Source organism: Homo sapiens, chromosome 6, assembly GCF_000001405.40.
Source record: "Homo sapiens chromosome 6, GRCh38.p14 Primary Assembly".
Classification (NCBI taxonomy): Eukaryota; Metazoa; Chordata; class Mammalia; order Primates; family Hominidae; genus Homo; species Homo sapiens.
In genome coordinates this window covers 55,886,277-55,910,934 of record NC_000006.12, presented here as the reverse complement: position 1 = coordinate 55,910,934, position 24,658 = coordinate 55,886,277, and the positions used below count along the sequence as shown (strand labels likewise).

The following is a 24,658-nucleotide window of genomic DNA, read 5'->3' as shown; positions in this document are numbered from 1 at the left end:
CTGCCATCTCGGCTCACTGCAACCTCCCTGCCTGATTCTCCTGCCTCGGCCTGCCGAGTGCCTGCGATTGCAGGCACGCGCCGCCACGCCTGACTGGTTTTCGTATTTTTTTTGGTGGAGACGGGGTTTCGCTGTGTTGGCCGGGCTGGTCTCCGGCTCCTAACCGCGAGTGATCCACCAGCCTCAGCCTCCCGAGGTGCCGGGATTGCAGACGGAGTCTGGTTCACTCGGTGCTCAATGGTGCCCAGGCTGGAGTGCAGTGGCATGATCTCGGCTTGCTACAACCTCCACCTCCCAGCCGCCTGCCTTGGCCTCCCAAAGCGCGGAGAGTGCAGCCTCTGCCCGGCCGCCACCCCGTCTGGGAAGTGAGGAGCGTCTCTGCCTGGCCGCCCATCGTCTGGGACGTGAGGAGCCCCTCTGCCTGGCTGCCCAGTCTGGAAAGTGAGGAGCGTCTCTGCCTGGCCGCCATCCCATCTAGGAAGTGAGGAGCGTCTCTGCCCGGCCGCCCATCGTCTGAGATGTGGGCAGCGCCTCTGCCCCGCCGCCCCGTCTGGGATGTGAGGAGCGCCTCTGCCCGGCCGCGACCCCGTCTGGGAGGTGAGGAGCGTCTCTGCCCGGCCGCCCCGTCTGAGAAGTGAGGAGACCCTCCGCCTGGCAACCGCCCCATCTGAGAAGTGAGGAGCCCCTCCGCCCAGCAGCCGCCCCATCTGAGAAATGAGGAGCCCCTCCGCCCGGCAACCACACCATCTGGGAAGTGAGGAGCATCTCTGCCCCGCCAGCCGCCCCGTCCTGGAGGGAGGTGGGGGGGTCAGCCCCCCGCCCGGCCAGCCGCCCCGTCTGGGAGGTGAGGGGCGCCTCTGCCCAGCCACCCCTACTGGGAAGTGAGGAGCCCCTCTGCCCGGCCAGCCGCCCCGTCAGGGAGGGAGGTGGGGGGGTCAGCCCCCCGCCCGGCCAGCCGTCCCTTCCGGGAGGGAGGTGGGGGGGTCAGCCCCCCGCCCGGCCAGCCGCCCCGTCTGGGAGGTGAGGGGCGCCTCTGCCCAGCCGCCCCTACTGGGAAGTGAGGAGCCCCTCTGCCCGGCCAGCCGCCCCGTCTGGGAGGTGTACCCAACAGCTCATTGAGAACGGGCCATGATGACAATGGCGGTTTTGTGGAATAGAAAGGGGGGAAAGGTGGGGAAAAGATTGAGAAATCGGATGGTTGCCGTGTCTGTGTAGAAAGAGGTAGACATGGGAAACTTTTCATTTTGTTCTGTACTAAGAAAAATTCTTTGGCCTTGGGATCCTGTTGATCTGTGACCTTACCCCCAACCCTGTGCTCTCTGAAACATGTGCTGTGTCCACTCAGGGTTAAATGGATTAAGGGTGGTGCAAGATGTGCTTTGTTAAACAGATGCTTGAAGGCAGCATGCTCGTTAAGAGTCATCACCACTCCCTAATCTCAAGTACCCAGGGACACAAACACTGCGGAAGGCTGCAGGGTCCTCTGCCTAGGAAAACCAGAGACCTTTGTTCACTTGTTTATCTGCTGACCTTCCCTCCACTATTGTCCTATGACCCTGCCAAATCCCCCTCTGTGAGAAACACCCAAGAATGATCAATAAAAAAAAAAAAAAAAAAAAGAAAAAAAAAATAAAGTCCAACCAATATGGCATTTTTAAAATTTGTTTCCACTGGTGAACTCAATCCATTTAAATGTATTGTAATTACAGCTGTATTTGAATTTATTTCTAATGTTATATTTTGGGTTTCCATGTTTCTTTTCTTTTTTTCTTGCTTACTTTCAGATCAAGTTTTTCTTTAGTTCACCTTTTTTCTCTCTGGTTTAGAGATGATTTGCCCACATTTATTTTAATTGGTATCTTAGAAATTGAAACATGCAACTTAAATTTAATGAATTCTAAAATGATGTAATCAATATTTTTACTCTCATTTGGAGACTACTTTAACTGTCTTTAGCATATTCCCAGCTCACATGCTGTTAATATGTAGTATTAGTTCAATCTTTTATATTTTTATTCCTTAAGCAATAGGCTTATTTGGATAAACAGGTTGAGTATCCCTTTTCCAAAATGCTTGGAACCAGAAGTGTTTCAGATTAATTTTTTTTTGTATTTTGAAATATTTGTATACATATTATCACTGTCTTAGAATGGGACTCAAGCCTAAACATGAAAATTATTTGTTTCATATACACTTTATGCACATAGCTTGAAGATAATTTTATTCAATATTTTCAATAATTTGTGCATGAAGCAAAGCTTGTATACATTGAACCAAAAGAAAGCAATGGGTTCACTATCTCAGCCACCCATATGGACAATCTGGTTATTTGGTATCACCATAATGCTGAGCAAATTACTGGAAGTTGGGGACCAGTCAGGACATTATTGCAATCATCCTGCTAAGATGTAGGGTAGATGAGTACATGATAGTGACTCATTGAGACAATGTGAATTTACAATTAACAGTGATAGAAACAAAAGGAATAAAAAATACCATGGATCAAAGACCAAAATCTCTATAAACAGGTGCATTCATTCACTGCTAGTGGAAATATAAATTAGCCAAATCTCCAGATAGGGAATTTGGGAATGCATGCCAGAAACTATAAAAATAGAAGTATACAGTATACCTTTCACCAGCAATTCCACCTTCAGAAGCAATAAATTATTCAGACAAACATGTGAATATGTATGAACAAAACCTTTTCCTGAAGCTTTGTTTTTTTGATTATTATTTTTTTTTCTTAGAGACAGGGTCTCTCTCTGTCACCCAGGCTGGGGTGCAGTGGCATAATTGTAGCTCACTGTACCCTCGAACTCATGGGCTCAAGAAATTCTCCTGCCTCAGCCTCCCAAGGAGCTGGGACTGCAGATACATGCCACCATGCCCAGCTAATATTTTAAATTTTTTGTAGAGGCAAGGTCTGGCTTTGTTGCTCAGATTGATTTTGAACTGTTCTTAAGTGATCTTCCTGCCTTGGCTTCCCAAAGTGCTGTGATCACAAGTGTGAGCCACCACATCTGGCCTTGAATCTTTGTTTTTGAAGCAGCAAATTAGAACCAATCTATATAATACAGTCACAAAACTGAAGATATAAATCTGTATATTTGGTCATAAATATTCACAATCTATTGCTAAATGATAAAAATGGATCACTGAGTAGTATGTAAAATACATCATTAAAATAATATGCAGGCATGTATAGAAAAGGTTTGAAAGTATATCTATAGCTATAGCTATAATTCTAAGAGTGCTTATATTACTTTTTTCTATAGTCTTTTCTTTTTTGATAATGTATGTGAATTACTGTGTTTTGGGAAAATGGTGATGCCATTAATAGATACTTCAAAGAAGCCAGCATAGGATATTGATTTAGTGGAAAATATAATGAATTTAGATGTCATTTAAAGCTCTGGCTGAAAATCCAATTGGATATGTCTGATTATCAGTTTGGAAGAGACTATAAAGAATTTAAAATGAAATAGCTGATAATGGTTACCAGAGGCTGGGAAGGACAGGGGGATTGGGTATGATAAAGGGATGGTTAATGGGTACCAAAATTCAGTTAGATAGAAGAAATAAGGTTTAGTGTTCAGTAACACAATAGGGCAACTATGGTTAATAATAATTAATTGTGTATATCAAAATATCTACAATAGTGGAATTAGAAAGTTCCTAATATAAATAAATGATAAATACTTGAAGTGATGAATATCCTAATTACCTTGATTTGATCTTCATATGCTTGTATCAAAATTTCACATGCACCCCAGATATATGTACAACCATTATGTATCCATAATAATTAAAAATAAAAAAAAGAAATGGCTAATGACAAAATTTTAGAAAATTTAAGATGAAATGGCTGACAGATTTTTTTTTTTTTTTTGAGATGGCATCTCTGTCACCCAGGCTGCAGTGCAACTGTGCAATCTCGGCCCACTGCAACCTCTGCCTCCCAGGTTCAAGCGATTTTTCCACCTCAGCCTCTCGAGTCACTGGGATTACAGGCACCCACCATCATGCCTGGCTAATTTTTGTATTTTCAGTAGAGACGGGGCTTCACCATGTTAGCCAGGCTGGCCCTGAGCTCCTGACCTCAGGTGATCAGCCCGCCTTGGCCTCCCAGAGTGCTGGAATTTCAGGAGTCAGCCACCATGCCTGACCAGAATTTTTTAATATTAAAAAATAATAACTGGCTTCCAGGAAGTCTAGTGCTTATTTTTAAATGCTAAGTTTGAAGAATTATGTAAGCCCATATTTTGGTTGCATTTATCAGCCCTTTTCTTTTACAGAGCTTAACTCTCTTCTCCCTGCTTATTCTCAGTCCTATTATATACAATTGCCTTTATCAGTTATTTGAAATCTTTTATAGATTGATGGTCTATATAGTTTAAAAACATATAGTGTATAATTAACTAATGATTCTATTGGTCATTATTCAGGACAAAGCAACTGAGAGATCACTTTAATTAATTTCTACAATTGAATAAAAATCCTATAGCTATCACTTCTGAGCATCTCACTTTTCCAGGAAATCTTCGAATGACACATTTTTTCTATGATTATTTTGCCAATTTGAAGTTTTGATCTTTTAAAATGATCAAGATTTGATCGTTTTTTAAAGAATAAAAAGTATTTTTATTTATTATGAGAAGTCATTGCATGTCTTTATGGTTCAGGTAAATCTTTATTGACCAAGGTTTTTTAATTTCACAGGTCGGAAAATTCTTCGCAAATCCTAGCTAACCAAAATGCAGATAAAAAATAAAGTTTATTTCTAAAACTGAATCTATCTGTGTGACACAGTTGAAAATGGTCCACTCTCTCCATTTCTTCTAGTTCAACCCCTTTTTGCCCTGTGTGTTATTGCCTCCACTTGTTCTCCCTGCTCTCAACATCTCCTCATTTTATGTCTTCTCCACATTACCACTATAGGTAGTTGATTGTGTAAAATACCTGATTAATAAATTTTTCACTCCCCACTCCTGATGGGCTAAAAACTTTCATAAGCAATGTCTGTATTTTGGTTCTGTGCTGTTTTCCTGATTTCATTTTCCTCTGCTCTTCTTCAGAATGCACTCTGCACTTTAGCTGCTCAAAGTTCCTGGGGGCACAAATTGAATTATTTTGTTTTCTGCTTTTGTAAAGTACAGAGAATTTCTTTCCCATATCTTCTGAAAATCCTATTGATCTGTGTTTTCTTTTCAGCTGCTATAGATTTATTTTGTTTAAAAAAATTAATTGACATAATAATTGCACATATTCATGGGGCATATGTGGTATGTTGATACATGTATACAAAGTGTCATTATCAAATTATCAAACTGCAAAGTGTAATTATCATCATCCTCAAATATCTATCATTTCTTTGTGTTGGTAACATTAAAAATCCTCTCTTCTAACTATTTTGAACTATACAATACATTATTAAGTATAGTCATCCTGCTGTGCTATAGAACCCTAGAACTTATTCTTCCTATCTAAATGCAATATTTTACCCATTAACCAAGCTCTTCCTATTCTTCCCTCCCTGCTACCCTTCCTAGACTCTGATAACCACTATTCTACTCTCTCCTTCTTTGAGATATTTTTTTTTTAGCTCCCACATATGAATGAGAACATGTTGTATTTGTCTTTCTGTGCCTGGCTCATTTCACTTAGCATACAAAAAATCCTAAAAATAGAATTACCATATGATCCAGTAATTCCGGATATATATCCAAAGGAAAGAAAATCAGTACATCAAAGAGAGATTTGCACTTCCATGTTTATTGCAGCAGTAGTCACAATAGCCAAACTATTAAATCAACCTAAGTGCTTATCAATAGATAAGTGGGTAAAGAAAGTATGGTATATTGATCCATTTTTGACAGGGAGGAAAATTAGTTGCAAAATCTGTTGTGGCAACTCATTCATCTAATGACTATATAGATTTCTCTGTTTTCCTTCCTGTGCCAATTCTGGCCCAAGCCTCTTAAAACAGCACAGAGTTGATTGAAATGGGTATCCTTTTTAGCTAAAGGAAGACCATTCTGTAATAAAGAATTCTGTAATAAAGAATGGTCTTCGTTGAGGACTCAGATGAAATAGCACCATGTCTGGAATGGTCATGAGTTTATTCCTTTATCCCTTGGCCCCATGAACATTTCTGTTCTTGCCCATGTGTATTTCCTTCCATTCATGTCAATGCCATTATTTGTTTGTACTATTCATAAATTTCATCCCTGTCTTTGGTCTGGGGAGGATTCTTTCTGTGCATTTTAGTGCCCATTCAAGGGAGGACAATAACTTTAAGAGTATAATTAATGAGAAAAATTTAAATTTCTGAGCTCCTTGGGGTGGTGGAGATGAAGATTTTAAGTCAAGACATAGAAAGTAGAGTGACATCTCTTTATTTACCCCTCTGTCATCCTGAGACTAGAAGATATTCTTAATGATACAGTTCTAACAGTTATTGGTATGTTCCATGCACTGAATGTTTGTGTACCCTCAAAATTCATATATGGAAGCTTAAATACCCAGTATGATGGTTTTGTGAGATGGGCCTTTGGGAGATAATTAAGTCGTGAGAATGGAGCCCCCATTAATAGAATTAGTGCCCTTAGATCAAACAGGAGAGAGATGATCTCTCTCTACTATGTGAGGATACAAGGAGAAGATGACCCTTTGCAAACCAGGAGGACAGCACTCACCAGACTCCTCATCTTTGAGTACCTCAATCTTGGACTTCCTGCTTCCAGAACTGTGAGAACTGTGAGAATTAAATTTCTGTTGTTTAAGTCACCCTGTCTATGGTATTCCTTTATAACAGCCTAAACTGACTTTGACAGTGTGCTGTTGGCCTTATTAAATTAACACGTGCATAAAAGAAAGTGTCACCCATCCAAATTCCACTGGACCCCCCCTCCCACCTTGAAAAAAGTGCAAAATAGAAAAAAATTAAAGAGTGCTTAGAGAAAAATTTATATGAACTTGCTTCCTCATATTAGCTGGCTATAACCTTGCAGGCTTGGGCTCTGATCATTGCCCTTCATTAGTGCATGTAATAACTGGGATTTTTTTTTTTGAAATGGGAAGGGAATGAATCAATTTTCTTGCATTGGTAAGATGCTTAAATTTTTTTCAATAGATTGTTTCTAAATCTGTGGGAAATGTTCTGTTTCAATTTTCAGTTGGAACAAGATTGCACTAAATAAGCGATCCTCTTTCTTGGCTCCCTTAATAAATTGCTTTAAAAATTAATTTTCTTTAGATACTTTGTTACATAATAGTTTCTTACTACTAAATGCTTTAAAAAGTAATAATTTTCTTTTGGATAAAATATTTTCACTGTTTGCACTTTTAATTTTTCTTTTGAATTAGGCATTATAGTAACTTTTCCGGAAATCAGAGGTATGGGTATTATTTCTTCTTCATTAATTATGTTTATTTTTTTCCTTCTCATTTGCTTGCTTCTCTGCTGACAGACACATAGAGAACAGGGCCAAGCTATAGCTTTGCTTTTGTCCTTTGTTTTTAAACGCCACCTGATAAAACCACAATAATTTTTATCTTAAATGTTTATTTTAGTTTGAGCACCTCTACCTTGATATTATTTGGCAGAACATCGAATACTCGAGTTTGACTGCTATTTGGTGAGGAGATGAGACCATACCCTTCTCTGCTTGTGTTGCTATCACCATCTTCCTGACCAATTCTGAGTTATTTCTTGGTTTACAAGCTTTCTCTGCCCTCAAAATCTCTATTTGGCTTATTTAACCTAATAGACATGTCTCTTAAAAAAAAAATGACCCAGCCTGGGCCTCTTCTCTGACTGCCCCAGTCCTCAAGGGTGCTCCTTCCCATTATCTCTTTGGAACTCGAACTCTTTCTCTGAACAAATGAGTCACGTTTATCTAAACCTTACCTTTCAACTCTGTATTTTTTTTTCCTTCTTTTGCTTATGTTTGGGGCCTCTGGAAATCTGAACCTAGGGAAAGAAAAACAAATAAACTTTTCTTCCTAAGAATGCCTTGGCTCTTACCCTTTCTGTGTCTCTGCAGCAGACACAAAGCCTCCATATCCATTTCACATAGATCCTTCTCCCCAGAGCTCTTTTATTCCTAAGCAAAGCAAAGAATTTATAGTCATCTGGTGATTCCAGCACAGTAATTCAATTTTTGTACTGGAAATTTTACTGCTTAATATTTTGGCTAGACTTACCTTATTAATAAATAGTATTAATTATATTAGCAATAATGACTGTTATTAACTGTTTTTTTATGTACCTTGTGCTGAGTTAAGTAGTTTACACAGTTCTATAAGAAATCTAGATTTATTAAATAACAATCACCTCTTTCTTCTAGTCAACATTGTATTTTATGAACCAGGTTGCAGACAGTCAATAAAACATGTTTTGGAGCATGGTCAATGGATCAGAGACCTGGGTTCAGTTCTGTGTCTGCCAAGTAATATGTGTATGACCTTGTATAAGTTATTAAACATTGTTTTATCTAACAAGTATTTTTGAAAAAAATTATGCCTTTTATTTTTAAATTAATATTAAAATTTAAAATTGTATTGACTATATACATTTTAGAACCTGGGTTACATTATTAAATCAAAAGAAATGATATCTAACTAATAGAATTATAGCAAGGAGAAATGAAGTTATATACGCAAAACACTTGACTTAGTGCTTGGCACATAACAGGAGTCAATAAATTATAGCTCTCCTACAGTTCTCCTCTCTCAGAGTTATCAAGCTGCTAAATTCCTGGGCCAGGACCAGTATCTTATTCTTTATGTATCACAGTATTTTATAACAATTTCTAGCATTAAACTGGCTAGGACAGAAATAACGTAAGTCCATCATAAAGTAACTCCTAGTTAAAGTTTTACACTTTTTCCATTTTATTTTTTATGTAGGGTGAAAATCGTTATTTCATCCAGGAAGTAACTGATTAACCATGAGCCTGATTCTCTCCTTTCAGATAAAATTTTAAAGGGAAAGACACTCAAGATGTGATGTAACCATTACTAGCACTAGTTTTCTCAGAACACTACAGAATAATTTGTAAACTTAGAAAATGTTGACAAAAGTAAACAAGAAGAGTACAACACATGTTGATTCATAACAATATTAGGCAGCTCTAATCTGTCAATAAACAAAGACAAGGAAACAGTTCCATTATTTTTGACAACTTATAAATAACTAAGGTCAGGTCCAAACACCTAAGCACTGAATTCAAGTTCCAGTCTGCTTTTCATTTTCTTCTATTTTTTTTTTATGAAGTGCACCCAGACTTGAACATTTGCTCCTCCATGAACATATTACACAGCTGATGCTTTTGAAATTATACTCCTACGATGCATTGTGTCAGGATTTCCACCTCCTGGCCAGCGCGGGCCTATTCTCTATCATCTTTCAAATCTTAACTTAGGGCCTACAACCTCTTCTTTTCTGTTTCTCTTTAGCTATCTTAATTTTTAATATTTTGACAGCAATTACATCTGTATCTGTAGTATAGCATTTCTTTTAGTCTGTCTTTTCTTATGACTTTTTAAAATAGAAAACTTGGGTTGTTAAATAACATTTAAAGACATTGAATCATTAGTTAATCTTTACACAAAGAAAACATCAGATCTAGGCAATTTTATAAATGAGTTCTACAAACTTTTAAAGGTATAGATGATTTTGGTCGTAAAAAAATTCCTAGGCAGTAGAAAACTACAGAATAGATTTTTTTTGCAATACTAAAGTAACTTCATATCAAAATTAGATAGATGGAGTAAAATAAAAATAACAGGCCCGTCTACTCATGAACATAGAGGGAAAAACACTTAAGCAAAATAGTAGCAAACTGAATTTAGATAACATACCAAATATTAAATTCTTGTATTCTAGTTTCAAGTTTGGCTTGACATTAGAAAGTATATTAATAAATTTGCTACATTAACAGATTAAGGAATGAAAAAATTTCAGATGTTCTTAATAGAAGTTCATCATTTGATAAGAATAAAAATTCATTGTTGATGAAAAAACATTACAAGTTAAGGATAATAGACAGCACATACTAACAATCTAGAGCAAATGTTATACTTAATAGAAAAATGTCAGATACGCTTTTTTTTAATCAAGAATAAGGAGGATATTCAATATTACTCTTTATATTTGACATTATTTGGGACCTCCAGGTCCTAACGGTACTTAAGTATACTTGATAATTACCACTGGAAGGGCTCAGAGGACCACATGTTCCTTCCAGAATCTGGTAACTAGGGTATGGTAGAGTAGGCAAGGTGGACATGCCCAACTTTACTGTGTTGAGTATCTTTTCTTTTCTCAGTCTCCACATGGATGTCAAATATCTAGAACTTTGCTGTGCATTATGATAATCTCTGTGTTACAAGTCTGAATTCAAATATGGCTACTCTGGATTGAAAAGCACTATAAGCATAAAATACAACACTGGATTTGAAAGACAGTATAAAAATGCAAACTATATAAATAACTTTTGATAACATGTTTACATGCTAATATGTTGGATATATGGGCTTAAATATTACTAAAATGAAAATTAGTTTTACTGGTTTCATTGTACATTAAAAAAATGTGGCTACCAGAAAATTTAAAATTACATTTGTGGCTCTGATGAGTGGAATTATTATTTCTAGTGAACAGCTCTGATTTGTGGTAAATCTGAGCTGAAGAGCATTAGTGCAGGGTGTAAGGGGTGGAGACAGCATAAATGCTGGCAGGGTGGAGGAGAAGGAGGAGGAGGAGGAGATGACCTGGCTCTTCCTGCGCACTAGGCCATAGCCATCATGCTTGGGAGACTCAAGCTCCACAGGCTGAGGAGCCAGAGCTGAAGACCTTGGAGTTATCCCAGAGAAGATTTCCAGCTCTGGTCTGTAGAGGCAGAGGCGCTGCAGAGATGGCTCTCTGAGACAACAGTCAGTCCATAACGGCAGTGGGGCCATGAGTGATTTCTGCTGGCTTCCCTGGACATGTTCAGCTTAGGGCTGGATCTTTGAGGCTGGGTGATAATCTCAGGCTATCATCAATTTTTCTGCCTCTCCTGTTAGACTTCAAGATTCTTGAGGAGGTCCTGTGGCTTACCTTTTTCCTATCTCTTACTATATAACAACAAACTGTTTTGAATAGAAAACAAGCTCCAGACTTACTTGTTAATTCAAACGGGAATTATTTCTTAGTTCAAAAGCTTTCCATGGGACCATTATTCTTAACTTCATTCACTACTAGACCCCTTCAGGATAATAAGCACGCAGGACCCGTTACCTCTCTAGCACTGGCCAGAAGGTAAAGAATTCTTTCAAGGTGCATAGCTTCATAGTATTTTTAAAGTATGTTGGAGACTCTACTATTAGTATCATTATCATTTGTGTATAATGATTTTTTTTTTGAGATGGAGTCTCACTCTGTCACCAGGCTGGAGTGCAGTGGCACAGTCTCAACTCACTGCAACCTCCGACTCCCTGGTTCAAGCGATTCTCCTGCCTCAGCCTCCCGAGTAGCTGGGACTACAGATATGTGCCACCATGCCTGGCTAATTTTTGTATTTTTAGTAAAGATGGGATTTTACCACGTTGGCCAGGATGGTCTTGATCTCCTGACCTCATGATCCACCTGCCTTGGCCTCCCAAAGTGCTGGGATTACAGGCATAAGCCACCGTGCCTGGTCATGAATTCATTTTTAAATGGATTTTTATAACCCTGATTAAGAAGTCTTAATATATGATCTATGAATGTCTCAGTTTACTGAATAGACAGTAAAATAATTCTGTCTCACTCTTTTGCACCTCCTTTTTTTTTTTTTGACCTTTCTTGCACTAACATTACTAACAAACAGATTCATATCTTTACTGGTGTTGTTGAACATCTACTATGTAAAGTTTTGTGATGGCTAAAAGATACACAAGACATATTCTCTATCTTCAAGTTGTTTACTGTCTCACAGAAGATTTAAAGACACCAGTAACTTTAACACAAACAGCATAAGAGGGTGATGGAGCTCTAAAAATTCAGGACTGTCACATTGACCAGGAAAGAGGGATCTCTGTCACCCGAGGAGATTAAAGCAAATATCATTGTTGAGATGACTTCCAGAGTGAGTCTTAGATGATAAGTGGAATTTGGATAGTGGAAAAAGTGAAGAGGGCATTATCTCTAGGCATAAGAAATGGCATGAACAATGGTAGAGTCTTCTAAAAATGAGGTTTATGGCTGTTGAGCTGAGCAACAATTTGAGATTCTTTTTTGTTTTCTCTCCATAAATAAGAGTAGTGTTTAGTTTATCTGATAGGAAATAGGAAAGTACCAAAAACAATGAAGATGTGTGACATGATCCAAGCAGTACTTTAGTAATTAAGAGTGTTGTGCAAGGTGACTTAAGGAAGAATCAAAAGACGTTATACTTCATGGGAGTCATAATAGAAGAATGAAAGAAATGTAAACGTCTACAGGGAAAAAATTCAAAGCATTTAGCAACTGATGTTGATATAGGTTATGTATTGAAGAGAAGAGTATAACCAAATATCTGTTTGAGACTAACAAACCGACTAGTGAAAAAGTTATGTTTTTCAATTTTAAATGCAACCAACTATTCAGAATTTCACTCTAATTTTGTCTTTAGTAGCAAACCTATCTCTCCCTTTCCTTTTACTCTTCTAATTTTTTATAAAATATTTCTTTATTATTTTCATTATTTTCATTATTTTGCTTTCCATACCCTTTGAAATCTGGCTTCCATCTACACCCCTCCACCAAAACTTTTTAGGCAAAGGTCTTTGATGATGATCTCTTTGTGGCTTAATAGGCTAGATTTCTATTCCTTATCTTTACTTCACTAACTATTTGATAATGGTAATTAATTAATCATTTTCAACTCTCTCCTATCTTGGTTTCTGTGACACCATTATCTCTTAGTTTCTTTTCCTACATATTTGGTTATTTAAAGAACAATGCTTCCTTAACCCATTTCATATATGTTGGAGTTTCCTAACTTTCTATTTTCAGCCTTTACATCTTATAATTCTACACATGCATTCCCATAGTTTCAACCTTAATTTCCAATGTTTTTTAAACAAATATTTATTGAGTATCTGTCTTTACCAGACATTTTGTTGATGAATCCCAAAATCATCATTTCTATTTCACCTTTTCCTCCTGAGCTCTAGATCCCAGATGTCCATCTGCCTACTTGAGTTAATCTCCTGACTGTAATCGAAGCCCTGCAAAGATAACATTCTCTGTCCCGACCCCTCCTCAGACTAAGTCTTACTCTTCTATCTTTTTTCTTAGTGAACTGTAATAACATTTATCCAGTTGACCCAATTAGAATCCCAAGAGCTCTGCTTGACTCTGCATTTCAGTAGATGACAGCATGGACAGTTGCCAATGGCCAGAGACCAGATGTCTTTCTTTCATGAATTACCCCCTGAAGAGAAACAGGAGTAGAAGGACAGAAAATCTTGCATAGAAAGCATTTGAATTTGAAATAACTGTTTTTCCATAGAATTGGCTAAAGAATTATAATGGAGATTCAAAATTGAGGTTGAAGTGCATTTTAGAAAAAGTATGTTAAAATTTTGCTCACCTGAATGCACAGCTTAAAAATATGACTTAAATTTGTTCAATTACAGTATACTTCTAAACGTTTTTCAGAAGTTCCTTATAACTTTTAGGATAAAGTCCAAAAACTATAGCACTGGATCCAAAGCTCTTTACAATCAGATTCATGCTTGCCTCTCCAGCCTCATCTCTGGCTACAAGCATCCTTGCATTCTACCTTTGAATAAGCATGGTTTTTCTGACCTCTATATTTGCTCTTACATTTTCTTAGCATATTTGTTAGCCAATATTCACTTGAGTAATTCTTATTCATTAGTTCATCCATAAACATTACAGAACATCTAACAATGTGCCTAGTATTGTTTAGTTCTGAATCCCAAAGATGAAAAAGCCAAAATCCTTGCTCTCAAGGAACTCATTATCTGTTGGAAGAGGCAGACACAAGAGATAAGTTTATTGATAGGACATTGATAGAGATGTATCACAGATGGTGTCTCTGGAATTGAGGGAAAGGTCTTGAAAGACTTCATGACAGAAGTGAACTTATGTGCTATGGTTTGAATGTTTGTGTTCCCTCCAAAATTTTTATTGAAACATAACCCCCAATGCTACAATATTAAAAGGTAGGGCCTTTAGGTGATAATTAGGTAATGAGGGCCTTGCCCTCATAAATGAATTAGTGCCCTCTAAAAGGACCTGAGAGGGCAAATTTATCCTTTCTATCCCTTTCACCATGTGAGGACGCAGTATTCATCCCTGTCCGAGAATGCAATAAGATGTTATTCTTGGAAACTGAAAGTAGCCCTCACCAGACAGAAACTGCCAGCACCTTGATCTTGGACTTTCATCCTCCAGAACTGTGAGAAATAAATCTCTATTATTTGTCAATTACTCAGCTTCAAGTATTTTGTCATAGCAGCACAAATGGACTAAGACTATGAGAACAGCCATGTACTTTCCCAAGTTTTTAATGACTAAGGAGTGCTTTCCTATGTTTAAAATAAATCTTTCTCTGTAGTTGATTTTAGTTCTTTCCATTAGGGGACAAATCAATGATATCCTAAATCAGTGCCAAAGTTTAAAGTGAGGAGCTTTGGAATGATAAAATGGTTTTGCTCATAACCTAACCCTGCCAAAACAGGATTTTCAGGTGAGGTCAGACACTTCATCTTTGAAAAACAGTTCTGGAGATCACTGTGATACACATGCAAGGTTGAATACTGTTGTTAAATAATAGCTGGCAAGCACACAAAGAAAAAACAAACAAGAACTCTGCTAGTGATTTACGTTTGTTCAGGACTTAGCTTAGATAGCATCCTTTCAGAAATTTGTTTTGTATTGTCGTAAGTCTGGGATAAACACCTGCGGAAATCTGGGTTTAGCTCTATTAAAATACACTAAATTCTATATTTCTGTCTTCTCCATTAGACCTGAGGATAAAAACTATATCTTTTATATTGGCATTAACAAGACACAGCGTAGTACCAGAAGCATAGAAAATGCTTAATTGACATTGACTATAATGTAGGGGATATGCATTATGGAATATAGGGGACTCAGGTTTTAAAGAGGGACCAATAAATTCTATTTTGTTCATATTGAGTCTAAGGTGCCATTGGTTTATTTAGTTTTGAATACCCAGTGAGCAACTAGAAATGTGGGACTTGAAGTTCAGAAATAAGTCAGGACTAGAGATGCTGGTTTGCTAATAATCTTCAACACAGTATTAGCTGAAGTTATGAAAAGTATGTATGTATCTATCTAAGCATAGGAGGATAAAGAATTAATAAAAAAGACACATCAAAGGCTTTTCTAAATATACAAAGGAAATAAGGAGAATCAGTGCCACATAACTCAAGAGAAGAAAAAATTTCACAGTGAATAATGGGTCAACATTGTTAAATATTATAACTACAGTATCAAGTGCTATTGAGGGTGGGGTGTGGTGGCTCATGCCTGTAATCCCAGTGCTTTGGGAAGATGAGGTAGGAGGATTGCTTGAGACTAGGAGTTTGAGACCAACCTGGACAACACAGTGATACTCTTTCTCTACAAAACATTTTTTAAAACTGTGGTTGGGATACACAAGAAAAGTTAAGGATAGAGAACATCCATTTTATATTATAACTAGGAGATGAGAGTTGACATGTAAGGAAATAGTTTCAGCTAAGTTGTGGGGACAATAACTTAATACTAGTAGATAACCAAATACGTAGTGATAAAATGGTGGAATTTTGGACAGGTGAGAAATTACATGATAACTTGATGGACTGACAGGTGAACACAAAAGTTTGCATTATATTGAAATATTGGAAAAGAAGGAGCAAATGACTGATAAAGGTGGGATGGTAGAAAATATTGAAAAAGGAATGACTGGTGAAGGATAAACTTTGGCAAGGCAGTATGGTATGGCGTTGCAACCACAGAGGGACATTGTGACGATTCGGGAGGCACCTCTTTGCATGACATAGAAGAGAAAAAGAAAATAGATACAGAATCATTTTGAGGTTGAAAGGGAATTAATTTTAGGTTTATTAAAACTTCCCAGGGCCGGGCACAGTGGCTCGCGCCTGTAATCCCAGCACTTTGGGAGGCTGAGGTGGGCAGATCACGAGGTCAGGAGATAGAGACCATCCTGGCTAACATGGTGAAACCCTGTCTCTACTAAAAATACAAAAAAGTAGCCAGGCACGGTGGAGGGTGCCTGTAGTCCCAGCTACTCGGGAGGCTGAGGCAGGAGAATGGCGTGAACCTGGGAGGCAGAGCTTGCAGTGAGCTGAGATCATGCCACTGCACTCCAGCCTGGGCGACAGAGAGAGACTCCGTCTCAAACAAAACAAAACAAAACAAAACAAAACAAAACAAAATAAAACCAAAGAAAACAAAAACAAAAACTTCCCAAGAAATTATGGCATTAGCTGAAGATACATAAAGTATAGAATTAGTGTCAAAGTCTGAGGCAACTAAGCAAGCCTGAGGAGCTACTGTGAATATATTAATACAGATGAGGATGGTAAAAATTTAAGGAGATGAGAAATGTGGAGATCTTATGAAGAGCAACACCGAATTAAGTGACCATTTGGACTGTAGTAGGTTAAGGCTATAGTGAATGAATGTTTGAGAAATATGGTGTAGAGATCCAAGGAAATATAGGAAAAAAAAAAACAGGTTTAGAAGCTCTGAGAGTAACTGAGTCAAAACCACAGGATAACAGGCACTTTTAGTTAGTGAAAGGAGAATCCTTTTTTTTTAGTTGGTGGGTATTTTTTTCAAGTTTTTCCTCCTCTAGTGGCCCATGTGAAAGTCTTATTATTAGAGTCTCTGTGATTCCCAAATACAATTTCAAATTTTGATGCATAAAATTGCCACCTTTGGAATTTTTAAATTTATTTTTGACAATTAAGGGCAATAAAAAAGAACTTCCATCTGCTCTATGAAAAAAAGCAAGGAAGACAAAATATAAGAATTTAAAAAATGGATTTTCCAAAACAGCACATTTTGCAATTATGTTAATACCTGAGTTTAAATTTATATACTCATATATATATATGCATACACATATGATATTATAATACAGTAAAATATGTGTGTGTGTGTATATATATGTATGTGTATATATATATTTATCCTTATTGTATCATTATTGCCATAACTTATTTTTTGGTTTATTTGGTCATGAAAGCTTTGCCATGATCTGGTAAGACACTGATGACTAGACTTTGGGTCCTGAAGAAGTGATATTTCTTTTGAATGCTGAAGGAATAGGCATAATTTAGGCAAGTAGGTGTTACAGAGAAGAGTATTCCAGATGGAAGGAACAGCAGTGTAAAAGCCTCATAGCAAGGGAGATTGTGGCAAGTTTGAGGAACTTAAATGTGAATGTGACTGAAAGGTGGAGGCTGCCATAAAATGAAGATGTATAATCTAGCTGGAAAGAGGTAAGAGTGGGGGCTGAAGGTGAAATGGTAAGTTTTTAATTTTGTTTTGTTTTGTTTTGTTTTTTTCCCCTCGCTAACTGCTCACCTCCTCTACCACTTGCTTCCTTTTCTGAGCACTTTGGGAATTTAAACCATGGGCAGGTAGGGAACTGTACTGAGTTGAATAGAGTCCTCAAAAATGCATGTCCACACAAAACCACAACATCATTCTCATTAGGGAATAGGCTATTTGCAGATGTTATTAATTAGGATGAGGTCATACTGAAGTAGGGTGAGTCCTAACTCCAGTATAACTGGTGTCCTTGTAAGAAGAGGAGAGACAGACACATAGGGAAGGTCATGTGAAGAGGGAGGCAGAGATTACAGTGATGCATCTGTAAATCAAGGAACACCAAAGATTCCAGCCAGCCACCAGCAGCTAATAGAGGCAAAGGAGGAGCCCTCCCCTGGAGCCCTCAGAGAGAGCACGCCTTGTTCACACCTTGTTCACACCTTGTTTACACCTTGATTTTGGACTTCTAGTCCCCTTAACTGTGAGATAATACACTTCTGTTGTTATAAACCACCGAGTTTGTGGTAATTTGTTATGGAAGCCATAGGAAACTAAAACAGAAAGATGAAAGGAACAGATTATTTCTTATTTGCAAAATTTCCCGTGCTTGTTTTATATTCTCTGGGCCTGCAGGTATTCAACATTGACCCCTTTCTTTTGTAAAGTACTTATGTGAATTATTTTTTATTTTAAAAATATTTAACTAACAAATAAAAATTGTATATGTTCAATGTATAGAATGTGATGATTCAGTGTATATATATGTATATACATATATGTATTGTATTGTAATGATTATCACAATCAAATTAATTAATACATTCATCATTACTCATGCTATACATTAGATACCCAGAACTTGTCATCTTATAACTGAAAGTTTTTACTCTTTGAGCAATATCTTTCCCTTTCCCCCATCCCCGAGCCCCTGGAAACCACTATTCTACTCTGTTTCTGTGAGTGCAACATTTTTAGACTCCACATATGAATGAGATTATATAATATTTGTCTTTCTGTATCTGGTTTAGTTCACTCAGAATAATGTCCTCTAAGTTTATCCATGTTGTCACATAGCAAGATTTCTTTCTTTTTTGACTGAGTAATATTCCACACACATATATCATTTTCTTTATCCATTCATCCACTGATGGGCACAGGTTGTTTTCATATCTTGGTCATTATGAGTAATGCACACTCAACAGGGGGGTGCAAATATGTCTTTGAGATACTATTTTATTTTCTTTGGATATAGCCTGAGAAATAGGATTGCTGGGTTATATGATAGTTCTATTTTAATTTTTTGAGGAATCTCTATACTGTTTACCATATGGCTGTCTCTATTTACAACCCCACCAACAGTGTACAAGGGTTCCTTTTCCTCTATATCCTCACCAACACTTACTGCCTATCTTTTTGATAATAGCCATCCTAACAGGTACGAAGTGAAAGCTTGTTTTGTCTTTGACCTGCATTTCTCTGATGATTAATGATGTTGGACACATTTTGATATACTTGTTGGCCATTTGTATGTCAATACAATCCTTATCAAAATTTCAATGGCATTTTCACAGAAGTAGAAAAAAACCCATAAAATTTGTATAGAACCACAAAGACCTCAAATATCCAAAGCAATCTTGAGAAAGAAACAAAGTTGGATGCATCATGCTCCCTTATTTCAAACAATATTTCAAAGCTGTATTAATCAAAACAGTATAGTATTGTCACTAAAACAGACACATAGACCAAGGGGGGACAGAATAGAGTATAGAAAAAAACTCCATGCATATATGGTCAACGAATCTTTGACAAGAGCATTACAAATACACAATGAGAAAGGAAAATCTCTTCAATAAATGGTGTTAGGAAAACAGTATCTCATACTTTTGTACCTTTGTCTTACACCATATTCAAAAGTTAACTCAACATAGATTAAAGAAAAACATAAGACCTGAAATTATAAAAGTTTTAGAAGAAAACCTAGGGGAAAAGCCCCTTGACATTGATCTTGGCAATATTTTTTTTTTAATATTACATCAAAAGCACAGGCAACAAAAGTAAAATTAAGTTAAGAGATACCTACATGAAACTGAAAAGCTTTTGCACAGCAAAGGAACAATCAGTTAAATGAAAAGGCAACCTGTGGAATAAGAGAAAATAATTGCAAACTATATATCTGATAAAGGGTTACTATAGAAAATATATGAGGAACTTGCATAATTTAATGGCAAAAAAATCAAAAATAATTAAAAAATGGTCAAAGGACCTGAATAGACATTTTTCCAAAGAAAGCATAGAAATGGCTGGCGGATTTATGAAAAGTTGCTTATGTGGATTCTTATGACCCACCGCTGCCCTCCAGTAGGATAGCTTTCTCACTGACTATTTCTTGATGTAAGTGATGTTTTGACCTATGGTTCTTTTTTTTTTTTTTTTTTTTTTTGTAGTCTCTAGGAATCCAGGGTGGCTTTTAACTTCTCTCTACTGTAACCAGTTCATTCTTTAGGTAGCCTTCATGGGATGGGCCCTAATAAAACTCAACATACTGAGTCACCCCTACCTGTGGCCCGCATCTGGTCCATAGAAACCTTTAAGTTTGTTTTGCTTTATTGAATTCTGGGAATACAGGCTCATTCCAACTCAGCTCCCCGCTTTTGCTTCACCATCAGAGCCATTCGCCCGTTGTTTCTTGTCTTAACACTTCCCAGATGTGAGGCACGGCAACTTCCAACTTTAAGGTGCACATATCAAGTTCTCTGAGGAGACTCCTTGAAGCTTCTGTAATTAAGTTTGAAGTTAGAGGCAGATCCCCATCCTCAGCTCTTTCCCCTGAAAAAGAAGAGGAATTCACAACCCACCGGTTTTCTACTTCTGACCCCTTTCTGCTCTGGAAGTGAGGAACTTACTGGTTGTTTAGCTGGGTTTTATATAAACGTCCTTTGAAAATACTTTTGTCTAGCACCTCTCCTTGATTTCTGAATCTGCCATTTTAAGGTATTGGATAAAACTCCTACTTTATCGTCTTTTTATATGTAGTCAGTTGTTTAATGTTTGCTTCTTCCTTAGAATAATAAAGTTACTTCCATGAAAGCAGAGATATTTTACTTCTAATAAATGTATTCCTGGTACCATCTTAAATGCCTAGCTTATGGTAAGGCAATAAAGTATGTATTCAATGAATGTGTAAATGAATGATAAAATTACAAAAGAAACACATTTCTCAGGTACTAAATTTTAAAAGAAAAATTCATGTGATGCTCATATAGGAGTTTATGTAGAGATGAACAATGTTCTCAGCATCAGTGTTATAGATGTACTAAACTAATATGACTTATATTATACTTTATCCCTAAAATCAGATTTTCTCAAGGGGTGTATTAATGGCATGCTCATTAAGTTATCTTTTCTAAGTAACTTGTTTCTTAGCTCATGTTAAATAAAATCATAAAACAGGTTTTTGTATTTATTTTCTTTGATGAGTATAAAAATGTTAATATCTGTAAGATTGATTTATGACAGGTTCATATTCTGTGGACAGTGGATTATCAGGTGATATTGTTTAACATTTCATTATACATATTGAGATATTAATATTAGTCATTTTTCTAAATTAAAGGATATTTTAGGTAAAGAAACTACTAATGCTGTATAACAAATTACTCCCTGCTGTGGTTTGAATGTGTCTATTGCCTCCAAAATTCATGTTGAAAACTTAATCTCCATTGTGGTGGTATAAAGAGATGTAGCCTTGGGAGAAGTCATGATCTTATGAACGGATCAGTGTCTTACAAAAGGGCCGGAGAGAACTAAGTTAGACCCTTTTTGCCCTTCTTTTTCCTGCTGCATGAGGAAATAATGTGTCCTTTCTGCCATATTAAGTAATCAGCAAGAAGGCCCTCACCAGAGACAGACTGCTGCCATCTTGATCTTGAACTTCTCAGCTTCCAGAACTATAAGAAATAAATTTCTGCTCTTTATAAATGATTCAATCTCAGGTATTTTGTTATAGCAGCAAAATAGACTAAGACATTCCTATACATAGAAAGTGAAAGCAATGAACATTTATTATGTTACATTTTCTGTGCATCAAGAATCTGGTGACAACATAAATCGATACCTCTGGCTTAAGGTCTCTTTTGAGACTGTGGTTAAGTTATTGAATGTAGCTGTGGTATCCTCTGATGGTTTCATGGGGGTGGGTGGGTAGAGGGATTTGCTTCCACGTTTATTCATATGGCTTTTGGCAGGCCTCAGATCTGCTTCGAAGCTCACACATGTGGTTGCTAGTAGGCCTTAGTTCCTCACCATGTGGGCCTCTTCAGAGGCCCTCTGAAAGTCGTCACCACAGGACAGCTGGTGATCCAAGAGACAGAAAGCCTGAGAGTGAGAAAGAGAGAACACGCAAGTTGGAAGTTAGTCATTTTATAATCTAATAGTAGAAGTAACGTTCCATTACTTCTTATGTATTTTATTCATTACGAGCAGTCAATAAATTCAGCCCACACTTCAGGGGAGGGGATTACACTAGGGCAGGAGGACCAGGGGCCATTTTAGAGGCTGCCATTATCTGTATCAGGACCTAAACCAAAACATTTTCTTGAGGTATTCACATTTTTACACTGAAGAACATATGAATATTCTTTAACAATTTTGAAGACATTCTTACTATTTGGCTACCTGCACCATGGAAAGTTTTTCTATGATTGTTTCAAGCAATACTTGAGAGTATTAATAGTAGTGACTATTAGGGTAGTTGTTATTGAAATCTCTTTGTAAATATTATATTGAGACAAAGACACTGTTTAAGAGAAACCTGCCATGTATTGAAAAGATAGATATCCAACTATCTTTTTTATATTTCTTTCTGTATCTTTTTTGTAATATATGTGGATACATTTCCCAGATCTATCTTCATTAAATTTTTCCCTTCAGCTGTGTGAAATCGGACCATTTATTGATTGATTTTTTAAAAAATTGGTGTTCATAATTTTATTTCTATTAAATTTTTATTAATTTTCAAATCCTCCTGTTCTTTTATCAATGTCCTGCTTTAAAAAATTATGATTTCTATTTCTTTTGTTGTGGCTTTACCATTTTAAACATAGTTTTAAAAGTTTACTTTGGATGGTTTTATTCCCTCCAGTTTGGGGATGTGCAGTACTTCCTGCTGTCTTACTTGACAGCTCCTGCTCAGTTTAGATTGCTTCCTTATATGGTTTGTAGTTTTTGATTTTAAACTTTTCTTTAATAAGTATTTTCTCCCTGTGCAGAATTCTGTGGACTCTAGTGCTTAAAGGGAAGCTATTAATATGTATCTATGCTATGTTTGTTCAATTGGTTTAAAACAAGTTTTTAATATTGAGACTTGGGAATTCTACCACTAACCTTAAGGACAGCAGAGTACCATGAACTATTTAATTTTATTTATTTATCGTATCGTATCGTATCATATCGTATCGTATCGTATCGTATCGTATTGTATTTTTTGAGACGGAATCTTGCTCTGTTGCCCAGGCTGGAGTGCAGTGGCGCGATCTTGGCTCACTGCAACCTCTGCCTCCCGGGTGCAAGCAATTCTCTGCCTCAGCCTCCTGAGTAACTGGGATTACAGATGCCCGCCACCCTGCTAGGCTAATTTTTGTATGTTTAGTAGAGATGGTTTCACTGTCTTGCCCAGGCTGGTCTTGAACTCCTGACCTCGTGATCCACCTGCTTCGGCCTCCCAAAGTGCTGGGATTACAGTTGTGAGCCACCATGCCTGGCCTTGTTTTAATTTTTAAAGGAGAATTTTAATTTATTTTTCACTTATATCCTTAGGCCAAATCAAATATTACTTCACTAGGGGTTATTATTTTATCTCTCTCTTCAATTGCTCAGAGGTCCCCCCTTTATTTTCCTAGCTCTCTATAAGGATCTCAAGTTCAACATCTATCTTCATGTAAGTCCAAGGTAATATTCATGTCTCTATATGGACAGTTAATCTGCATCCCCTAGAAATGCGGCTTTTCCTGAGCCTGATAACCCCCTAAACATCTATTGAGTCATTTTGTAAATTATCTGGTTTTACATTTCTTCTTTGTTGTTGGTGCCTAGGAATTTCTCTTATTTTCCTTTAAGCTCATCTGTATATTTCACTTCATTATTTTGATTACATGTGATTTACTGTTTACTTATGTAGCAAGAGATGTGCTTTTTTACTACAGTCAGGTTGTAAGAACTGTACTGAAAAATAATAATAGAATTTGTTATTGAACCAATTCCTTTATTTACTTTTGAAATTTGTTGTTGAACCAATTCCTTTATTTACTTTATTTATCAATGTATATCTTCCTTCCCATCCTTGATTTCCTTTATTTTACATTGACCCCATGTAGAGACAACCTCATAATTTCAGATCCTGTCCTACGTGAAATCTATGTCTATGTAGAGCCTTTCATTTCTTTTCACCCACGAAATTAGTCTCTAGATGTGCCTAGGTACTTACTGTATAATTTTTTACCCTATAATTTAAAACTGTGTACATAAAATACTTATGGGGTGAGAAGGTATAAATCCTTCTAGCCGAAAGAAATGTAATTAGTGTTTCGGCATATTTGAGTGTGTCGTTGCAAAATACTGTTCTCTAGGTTAGTGGTGTGGTTTGGTATAAAAGAAGTAATAGAAATGTTCATAACAGAGACCCAGGATATAAAAGTCCCTTTGTGTTTTTCATTACAAGGTCATTACTTGCCATTCTTTACAAAATAAACATGAAGAATTGTTTCCAGGTTCTAAAGTTCAAGAGTTTTTGGACAAACTTAGTAAAATGGTAAGTGAAATACTTAAAGAACTGTAACTGAAAAGCAAAAATTTAAAGATGTATATTTTCATAGCAATAGAGATAGGATTATTATTTCTAAAAGCTTAAAGTGTGTCTAAACATTTCCATTCAAAAAGGTTACAGTAAATTTCTGCAACTTTACAATTTATATAACCAAGAGGTGGCAGTGTTCCATCTAGTTTCCTTTGGAAACTCATTCTCCAGAGGTAAAATTTTCAGATGTATTCTAATTAACTTTTAAAACAATTGACTTTTATTAAATTAATAAATAC

The 24,658-nt window shown here is 36.9% G+C and overlaps 1 annotated feature.

Annotated features, from left to right (window-relative positions):
• Window positions 619-1,153: an enhancer, noted in NCBI's record as "H3K27ac hESC enhancer chr6:55774580-55775114 (GRCh37/hg19 assembly coordinates)". NCBI's record gives its function as "activates a minimal SCP1, AML or CMV promoter by ChIP-STARR-seq in primed H9 embryonic stem cells {active_cell/tissue: H9 hESC(primed)}" and the evidence as "EXISTENCE:reporter gene assay evidence [ECO:0000049][PMID:30033119]".